Source organism: Homo sapiens, chromosome 10, assembly GCF_000001405.40.
Source record: "Homo sapiens chromosome 10, GRCh38.p14 Primary Assembly".
Classification (NCBI taxonomy): Eukaryota; Metazoa; Chordata; class Mammalia; order Primates; family Hominidae; genus Homo; species Homo sapiens.
Window position 1 is genome coordinate 61484789 of NC_000010.11, and position 10759 is coordinate 61495547.

At 36.1% G+C, this 10759-nt stretch overlaps 1 long non-coding RNA gene across 2 annotated transcripts in view, besides 1 other annotated feature; it reads left to right on the forward strand.

Annotated features, from left to right (window-relative positions):
- The window catches only part of TMEM26-AS1 (TMEM26 antisense RNA 1), a 40795-nt gene extending 32150 nt beyond the window's left edge, over window positions 1–8645 (forward strand). For both annotated transcript variants that reach the window (NR_120643.1, NR_120645.1), the window contains one exon: window positions 8508–8645. This is a non-coding gene — a long non-coding RNA (TMEM26 antisense RNA 1). The remainder of the gene's footprint in view (window positions 1–8507) is intronic.
- Window positions 7669–7869: a silencer, noted in NCBI's record as "peak957 fragment used in MPRA reporter construct". NCBI's record gives its function as "represses an SCP1 promoter by STARR-seq MPRAs in K562 erythroleukemia cells {active_cell/tissue: K562}" and the evidence as "EXISTENCE:reporter gene assay evidence [ECO:0000049][PMID:32103011]".
- Window positions 8646–10759: the final 2114 nt, after the last annotated feature.

Below are 10759 nucleotides of genomic sequence, written 5' to 3' on the forward strand. Positions count from 1 at the left end.
AATGGTAAATTTCTTCTTATTAAACGAAGGGCCATTTGAAAATATGTCAAAGAAATATATTTTGGGGTAAAATGCTTTGATTCTTTTCAGGGCCTGTTATCTGTCATGTGATGCTATGCTAGTCAGGTTGGAATTTGGTATCATTGCTACAAAAAGTCTGTTTTGTCAGTCTTAAGATTTCTTTTTTAATGTCAATGCTGGTAGGTCATGGTGCCTGAATTCCAATGGGAGGAGAGTATAATGAGGCATGTCTGACCTCCACTTTCCATCATGGCCTGAACTAGTTTTTCAGGTTAACTTTGGAATGCCCTTGGCCAAAAAGAGGGGTCGGCAGGGCTTAGAATTTTATTTTTTGTTTATATTCTCATAAAATAATTGTTATTCTATAAATGAAATATAATTCAAATTAAAAGGCAAAAATAAACTGGAAAAAATATTACGATAAGTATCACAATGGATTGAGATCACTTCTATATAAAAAGCTCATACAAATTGTTAAGGTTTGTATGAGGATTTCCATACCAATCAGCAATTCACAAAGGAAGAAATAGTAATATTTAATAGATATGGCAATCAAGAAAATGGGAACACAATCCCTTTTTTGTCCTATCAAATTAGCAGAGATTAACTAAAGAAGAATCTGCAGGGGGTAGGGTGAGGAGGAGGAACCCGTGAGACAGGCCATCTCGAGCATTAATGATTGTGAGTTAAATTGTTGTGGTCTGGTAGTTAGGTGATATAAAAATTGTAACTATGTCATTACCATTTTTATAACCTTTGACTTGAACTTCTACCTTAGGGACTCTATTATAAAGAAATTAGTATAAATGTGAAGAGATATGTATGCCCAAAGGCATTCCTTACAGCCATTATTCATAACAGAATGCTGGAAATAATATAATGCAGAATGGTAAATGGTTAGGGCAATTATAGCATATTCTTGACTCTTGTAAAGTCATTTAAATGTACATGGAGACATGCTTAAGCTCTAATTTTAAGTTAAAGCATGTTTTTAACGTCTTCTTGGCCCAGCATCCCTCTATGCCCTCACCTGTGCCAGCCATACACAACCTTAGTCATACCAATATCAGAAACCAGATTTTAGCCCAGTCTAGCCAAACTTAGGCAATCTGTGGCAGGCCCATTTACATACCTGCCTACCAGATCCTGTCTTTCACTCAGATCTCCAGCCACTCCATTTAAAACAAATGCTATTCACTCTCTTTAGGCAACCTGCAAAAGAACTCAGGTATATGGGATCACTGAAATCAGCGACTCTCTATACGTCATAAGGAACACATTCCAGAACAAATAAATTATAAACTTAAAGCTGTGAGATAAGCTGAAAATCTATTTAAAATAAAAGGAGTGATGCTATATGCTGAATATATATAGAAGAGAACAACAGCCTGTATGAAGGTTAAGAAAAAGGAAAGCTGAGAATCCGTACTTCTCAGTGTAACCAGTACTCCACCCTGTAGGTAACAGGCACTTAAAATCTATTTGTTAATGATGATGTTTTAAGATAGTTTGTCTTCCCACTAGAAGGCAAAGTATTTGAAGACTAACTTGCTGACTTGCTTACTTGTGTAGACACTTGCATAGCTGGAACAGTGTTTACACCCAAGATGTACTTATTTCATTCCCGAAACAACCAGCCTTGAGAGAAGTACACTGAAAAAGCATAGACTGAATAACCTCTAGGGAATGGAACTGGGAAAGGATAACAGAGGAGAGCCCTCTGTTTATTTATTCAAATACTTCACTTTTTACATCATAATTTTGTATTATTTTTGACCCTTTTTTACAATTGGTATGTATTTTGTTAAAAGTAAATATGTAAAAGCATATTACTATGTTTTACCTAATCTTCCACTGTTTTAATTATACAGGTATCAGAGGAATATAGTATATATGTTGTATATCTATATATTACTCACCTTCGAACCCAGGATAAGAAATAGCTACTCAAATCAAACCCAAGACGAAAGTAATACTGTTAGTGATGGTGGCAGCAGTTATAATAGCAGTAATAACAGTAGTAGAAGCAGTATTAGTAGCTAGTAATAGTAGTGCCTTATGTATGTTTCCTCAACCCTTGTGGTTTTTCAATGACCTTACATTATTTCCTTTGTCCTATCAAACAGCACTGTGAAGCCATTGTGAAATCATTTCCATTTAACTAAAGGGAGAAGTAAGGGTCAAAGTGTTTGCCTAACAAATGACACACAGATAATGAATGGTAGAACCAAAACAAAATTTTGCAATTTGATTCTTAAACTAGTTTCAGTTTCACTATTTTTCCAGACACTTGCATATGCAATTATCCCAAGTGGATCCATATACAATTTGACTCTCCAAATATTAGGGCCACTGGTACATTATAATTTTAAGGGCGTTGTATTTCTCAATATGAAAAAAATGTAATCCAAGAATAAGCCTAACAATAAGAGTAATAACTCTAGGATCTTCTGATTTTTATTTGTCTCAGGTCAATGACCATTTTCCCAGTGTAGGTAAAACTAGAAAGGTGTAAAAATGAAATTCAGTGTGTCCATGGGACATATAATTTTGAAGTTGTTCTGAGTAGGAAATAATGTTCTACAGTGGCTGAAAAAGAAAATTGCCTTGCAAGGTTATCTGGATTTTGAAAATCGTCATTATGAACCCTAAGCTTAATGTAAACTTTGTGTAAGTTACCACCTTATAGCAACTTGTGCTAACAAATGCCATCCCTAAATCCTATCATCTGATGACAATTAAGAAGCCTTATAAAAATCCTTTTCCTGAGCAACTCACTTCCTGCCAAAGAAACTGTAAATCTTCACTTTAAACTACAACATCTGCTGAGGCATGCGTGTCAGGTGGCCATTTTTAAATTGTGAATTTTAGCATCCATGAAGTCTGTCGGTTTGTTATTTTCATGTTGCTGTGAGTCACTTCTGAACTGTCATTTCCTCTTACTTTTACATTCCTAAAGCTTTGCCATACTCGGATACTCACTGGAATATCGAATACTCTGTTGTTCCTGTAGGGGTCAAGCCCTCTTTTCCGTGTTATGGTAACTCACCCATATCATCATCACTACCAGCTCTGCCATCATCACCCCCATCTCTGCCATCATCACCCAAGAGACATTTACCCTATATCTCCTTGAGCACACACTCTGTATAAGACCTGATTCCTTTTTTCCAAAGGTACCATCCCTCTTCACTGAATTCTCAAAAATTTTATTCTTCTCTGAAGTAATTCAATGGCAGTTATACATTTATTTTATTGCATCAGTGGACTATTCTTTCCATTTAGATTCTTATCTCTTTTTCTATTATCTTATCTCAAGATAATAGGAAAAGATGAAACTGATGCTACTGCTGATTTTGAAGTCTTAACATTTTGTAGTGAGTATTTTCTGGGACTAAACATGTGTGCTATGCATTCAATTTGAGAAGAAAGATGAGAAAGTTAAGTATCAAGAGAGAATACCTTGAAGAATAATTCTTAAGAGTCCAAAAATAATTTCCAGCATAAATCCTTTCAGAAGGGAAAACATGAGCTGAGAAAAACATCCCTCTGTTTAGCTAATCCACATATAGTGGTTTGGGTGTTACATTTTCTTATGAGTTAGCATTTTGGGGGAATTTGCTATGTATCAAGAACACTTTAAAGCATTTTACGTGCAATATCTCATATAAACGTCACAATAACTTCAAAGGTAGCTATTATTATACACACTTTCTGGAGGAGAAAACAAAGGCTTAGAGAATTTGAATGATTTTTCCAAACTAAATAGCTAATAAGAAGCAAGAGCCAAGGCTTAAACAAAGATCTTTCTCTAGATAAAGTCCAAACGTTTGGTCAAGCATGGAAAAAGGTTCTACTAGATTTTACTAGATTCAATGAATCTATATTGCGTTAGAGCCAGTAAAAATTATTGTGGGATATATTGCCTAATCTTGGTTTAGTTATTTCATTCATTAAACCTGTCTTAAGCACCTATTATGTATTGGGCACCATGTAGGTATAGCCATTAAAGCTCCAACATTCTGGACACAGAATGGTGAAAAAAAATAAACAGAAAAGGAAGTATATAAGATGAATTATAAGGCAGTTAAAGTTACAAATTATGGGACAAAAAAAGAAAGAACTGGCTATGCATAAATATAGTGGAAATGATGTAGGGATTGCAACAGATTATAAGTTACATATCAGTCAGAAATGCAATGCTGTTTGAAAATAACACAAAGACATAAAATGTAACTGCAAATAATGTTCTCTTCATATTTAGCTTTGGCTAAACTGTTATGAGGACAAGCTATTCCAGAGCAACCATGTTGTAAGAAAGCTATGGGAAACTTGAAGAGGGTCCATAGTTCTACAGTGAAAATAATTAAAAAGAAAGAAGAAAAGAAATCTTTAAAGAAATACTTTAGGATTTGTGGTTATTTTGTCTGACGAAAGCAAAAACGTGAACAAGGAGAGCCTTAGTAACTATTTCAACATACAGAGAACTTTTCAGAGGATGGGAAAAAGTTGTTCCACTTTTCCATTAGAGAGAGAATAAAAGAAATGTATGTTCCTTAGAGGATGATACCATCAATGTGTTAAAGAGGTCATTCTTTATCCTATTCAGGAAGAGACATCCTAATTCTCCTCTTGGGACTTGTAAGTAGACAGAAACAAAAACTTTAAGATGATCAGAGGGCAAAAGTTTCTCTTCTCACCCTTTCTCTGACACACATGCAGCCAGAGAGTGCCTACTTAACAATCAATGACATACATAATTGTGCAACGTAAATGGTGTTACCTTTACTGAAAGTTTATAAAACATATAGGTGTGAAACTCGTTTGTTGTCCACATATTTTATAAAACTGTATTTTTTACCAAAATCAAAAAATTTCAGATAATAATTTAAATTGTTTCTCTAATTTTTTAAAGATCAAAACATGTGGCGACCTGATCCCCATTCTTAGTGGGCTGGAGGTGTGTACTTTATCTCACATTAAATAGTGCATATGCCTTCCATTTATCTGAGTCTCCAACATTTCCTATAATATGCATACCTGACCTATTTCATTCATTCAAGTTACCTGGTTAATCTCTTTAGACTTTTGATACTGCAACTACTGGCACAAGTTAAAGAAGGACCGTTGGGTGACTTCACTAAACCTACTTAGTGTACACAGTTTCTCACATGGAGCCCTATTCTTAACATTTTATTTAGAACTGGGCAACCAAATTCTGGCTGGTATGGAGTGCCTGAGCAGTAGTGCACAAAGAGGAGACACAGAAAAACAAATACTCCATGGTCTTCCAAAAGTATTCTATGGAGCTAGGTTTCTCCAGGTAAGATTGGTACAATGTGCCAGGAGCCACTCCAAGCTACAAAAGATTGTGGCAGCTGATCTCTTGGATGATTATTTTTATTCATTGAGGAGTCACTTAAAACATGATTTTCATATTAAAGTATTATCATATGCAAAATTCGAATACTAGATAAAGTATGAAATTTCAGAGACATTTTGTCATTTGTAACAGAGAATCCAGGTTTGCAAACTTTTGCATACTTTTGGTGGGTATTTTGCTGGCAACGTTTGAGGAGCATTACTAGATTTCCACAAACTCTAAATTATTTTAAGTTGTATCTCCCGTGACCTAAACCTCTCCTGAATCTCTTCTTGGAAGCCTTACAAGCACAAGGGTATGTGTCCAATGAAGAAGTAAATCCTAATTAAGATTATTCCCACCAAAATTAAGCAACTCTTCATTTGAAATATTGTTTTTTAAATGATCTCCAACACACTAATTCAGCATAATGTCTTCGGTTATGGACACATGTCTGGAGTCAGATTGCCTGGGCTCTCTATCACTCAATAGCTGTATGATCTTGAATGAGTAACTTAACCTCCATGGGCTCCAATGTCTTCATAGGTTCTTCATAATATTGTTAAGAGGTTTAAATGTGTCAACATTTGTAAGGCATCTAGAATAATATGTGATAAATAGCAAGTGGTACAAATCTTCCTATGGGGAATGCTAAAGTTTTTTTTCTAAAGCTTTGTTTTCAGGTGGAAGAAATATGACCATTCACATAATAAGCTTTATGACCTCATCCTGAGGTGGTAATCTTGGGTAAAATATATCTATCAACCAACCCTCTAGTGACCCAACCTTTAGTTTAGCATTAAAGGGAAAGGAAAGTACTGAAAAATGAGGACCAACTCTCAACAACTATTTAAGTGTGTTTTGACATCTCAAAAAGCAGTAGCAAAGCAAAGAGAAAGAAAGAAAGAAAAGAAAAAAAGAAGGAAGGAAGGAGGAAGGAAGGAAGGAAGGAAGAAAGAAAAAAGAAAGAAAGGGAAAAGAAAAGAAAAGAAAGAGAGAGGGAGGAAGGGAGGGAGGGAAGGAAGGAAGGAGAAGGGAAGGGAGGAAGGAAGGAAGGGAAAGAAAGAAAAGAAAGAAAAAGAAATAAAGAAAGAAAGAGGGCAGGGAGGGAGAGGGAGGCAGGGAGGGAGGAAGGGAAGAAGCAAGAAAGAAAGAAGAAGAAGGAAGAAAGAAAGAGATAAGGAAGGAAGGAAAGAAAAGAAGGAAGGGAGAGAAATAAAGAAAGAGAGAGAAAGAAAGAGAAAGAGAGAGAGAGAAAAAGAAAGAAAGAAAAAGAAAGAAAGAAAGAAAGAAAGAAAGAAAGAAAGAAAGAAAGAAAGAAAGAAAGAAAAAAGAAAGAAGGGAAAGGAAGGAAGAAAGGGAGAGAGGCAGGAAGGGAGGGAGGGAGGAAGAGGGAGGGAGGGAGGGGGAGAGAGGGAAGAGGGAGGGAGGAAGGAAGGGAGGGAAAGAAAGGAAGAAAGGAAGGAAGGAGGGAAAGAAGGAAGGAAGGAAGGAAGGAAGGAAGGAAGGAAGGAAGGAAGGAAGGAAGGAAGGAGCTAGAAAGAGGAAGAAAACTGGGACAAACAGAAGCCCTGCCAAATAGTACTTATTTCAGAAATGTGAGAGACTTGATCTCTAAATTTTATTTTGAAGAATCACATTTTAAGTAAAAGTACAAACATTTAATGCTGTATTATACTCTGTGGCATTTAAATGAGACTAATTATATTTATTTATGGGTATTGTTTTTTACCTCTGTGGTTTTTTTTTTTTTTTTGTCTGAAATATTTTTAAAGCACAGGGCCTATTCCAAATACCTTATCCAAAAGATTAACAACACCCAACTAGATGATGGAAGCTTATTCAAGGAATAAGGACCCATGGTTTTGTGCTATTATAATATACTCCATAATTAAAAGGTAGTAAAAACTTGGCAATCTCAGGTTTTTCTGATTAGCCTTGCCCAGTAGTTCACACACATTTTGGTCTCAGGACCACTTTATAGTCTTAAAAGCTATTAAGAATCCCAAGGAGCTTTTATTTATGTAGATTATACCAATAAACATTTACCTAATTAGAAAATTTTTGACCGAGGAAAAATTTTAAATATTTCTACTTTAATGCTATTAAAAATAACATTAAACCAAATGCATGCTAAAATAAATGAAATAGTTTTATGACAAAATGACTATGTTTTCCAAGGCCCAAAAAGAAATCATTTTTGACAAGAATGACATTGTTTCACATTTTTGCTAATTCCCTAATGCCTGATTTCAGAGAAGTTGAATTCTCATATCAGCTACTGCATTCAGTCTGTTGCAATATATGTTTAGGTTGAAGTATGTGAAGACAATCTGGCCCTCACAGATATGTATTTTGGAAAGAGAAGAGTACTTTACTCATTTTGTAAGATAATTGTGGATACCCTTCTTTGGAACTAAACTTGGAAAGAGATAGTTTCTTAAAGTTTAGTTGCAATATGGAATCTGGAACCACATCAATGAATTTTTGGTACATATTGTAGCGATGTCTATGTGTCTGTCTTGCACTTCCAATGGATTTTTCACATACAAATAACTTTGCAACATGGTGCATTGGCCATTTGGAAAATTTGACTCACTGAATGATGTAAATCAACCAAATGATTACACAGCAATTTTAAAATTGTGTTTATTAATATACCATCAGTCTTAACGCCTAAGCTTTTCAGAACTAAAATGCCATCAAGATCATGGGGACATATTTTTCAAAGTTCTAATGTTTGCTGGAAAGCTCTAATGTTATTATTAAGAATGAAAGCTATCATTTTTTGAAGTAGGAGACTCATTCATTCATTTTTAAGAAAACATCCAAATACCAAAGTCAAAATAGCCATAATCTGTCAGTCACTCTCACACGTAATAAATGTGTTCAATGAAAAAGTGGCTACTTGAGCTTGTAACTCAATCTCACAAGTGTTTTTCCTCTTGAAGACCATCATACAGCAGAATGTTTTATACATAATTCCCATTTCAATACACAGAATGTTAAAAATATCTAATAAAATTCAGGATCGGGATTTAATGAATTAACAATGTTTTCTGCTTCATTGGGTACATTTTTAAACAAAAGTGACATTTCTTGTTTTCTTCCTTTTTTTAATAAGGTGAGGGCATGTCGGTGATGAAACTATCACTACTGTTCAAGGTGCCAGAAGTTTGACTTACCATCGCTTTTGAACAATCATCACTACATGTCAGCGTGGGAAAAAGAATAAAATAACATCTTAATATTATTATGAAAACAGTTTTGGCCTCATGGACCCCTTGAAAACCTATCAGGTTAACTGCAGACCACAGTTTGACGCTTTTAATGTATCCTAGAGGATATCCTTCTTTGTATTACTGTGGGGTACCCATTGTCGTTGAAATTTGTTTGATAATCCCCCTTTTTACCTCTCTTCTGTCATCACTTTGAATCACAACTTGCATTTTTTATTATTAGGGTTATCTTTTTACATGGTCGCCTTGGCTACCCCAATAGATAGTATAGTGCCTTGTTACCCAAAATATGGGCCGTGGACCAATAGCATCAGCATCACCTAGGAGCTTTGAAAAAAATGCAGAAATTCAGGCCTCCTTCCAGTACTACTGAATCACAAACTGCACTTTTCTTTTTTTTTTTTTTTTTTTTTTTTTTTCTTGAGACGGAGTCTCGCTCTGTCGCCCAGGCTGGGGTACATTGGCGCGATCTCTGCTCACCGCAAGCTCCGCCTCCTGGGTTCACGTCATTCTCCTGCCTCAGCCTCTCCAGTAGCTGGGACTACAGGCACCCGCCACCACGCCCGGCTAATTTTTTGTATTTTTAGTAGAGACGAGGTTTCACCATGTTAGCCAGGATGGTCTCCATCTCCTGACCTCGTGATCCGCCCGCCTCGGCCTCCCAAAGTGCCGGGATTACAGGCGTGAGCCACCGCGCCCGGCCCACAGGCTGCATTTTAATAACACTCTCTGGTGATTTGTACGCTTGTGTGTTGGAGACCTATTATATTTGCCTAACTGTCGTTCTCTGCTTCAGGAAATCTGTCATTTATCTGTTTCAGGAAATGCTCTGACTCCAACACATAAGGTTGGTTGCATTTTCCCTGATACAGAAGTGGGTGTATAACTAAGTTAAGCTATTTAGAGTATGCTATCCCTGTAAACAGAGTAATTTGTCCATTGCTGGGCATGTGTAAGCAAGACCAATCAGAGTCCATTTTTTCAGAAAAATATGGGTGGTGGGAGAAAGGAAATGCTCCTCTCTCTGGGATTATTAGCTGTATGGATAATGCAAATCCAAAAATTGCTGTGGCCATCTTTGCTGCAACATAAAGGAAAGTTCTCTGAAGTGATTCCAGAAAAGAGGAGGACAGAAGTCAGAGATGGAGAGAGATAGACCCTTGATGACATCAAATGAGCCTCTGGATCCAGCTCTGCCTGAAGTCATCTGCCCCATGATTTTCAGTAATGTGAATCAACAACATATTCTGCTTTTCTAGCTAATGTTAGTTTGAATCGGGTTTCTGTTCCTTGCAACCAAGGGTTTTGACATAAGACGAAAAACTCTGTGGGGACATATGTATCATTTATATTTTTTGTAATCTTCAAAATACCTAGCAAGTGCCTTAAATTTAATGATCACCATTGTTCACCATCTCAGCTCATTTTATTGAGTCCCCTATTTTATACCTTTCTGATATGCATATTGGAATATGTCAACCCTGGCTTAAATGCTTCAACTCTTCCTTACCATGGAGGTGTACAGTGCTGTTTAAAACGTTCTTCACAGTATAGCTATACCCACCTTCACAGGCTTATCTGTCAGTTCCTCTCTACTGGTGCCATTCACCTCATTTGCTGGGTCTTGAAGAAGCCCTAGCATTTCTTGACACCAAGCATTTACATATGCTGTTCCCACTATACCTTGGCTATCTAACTGATGAACTCCTATGTGGTTTGAAGGAGCCTTTTCAAAGATCACCTTCTTTGTAAAGGTTTTCTTAATGCCCAATTATTTTACTCCCTGAGATTATACTCCTGTGTTCTTCATCAAGCCTTTACAAACTATATTAAATTTCTTGGACATTTCTCAGTGTTGCCTGTAAGATTATGAACCTGTTAAATTCAGAGACATCTTTCATCCCTGTATTCTCATATTTGATATAGAAATCCGACACTTACCATGAGCCCTTTAAATGTTTATTAAAAGCAAAAATAACTAAAAATGACAAAAGGATTTTAGTCATTACTCTTGGGCTCTGCCATTTATTTGCTCTTTGACCAGGGTCAAATAATTTATGCTACTGAAATACTGTATTTCTTCATCTATAAAATTAGGATAATATTGTCCACCTTGCCTGGCATGATAATTCTATGG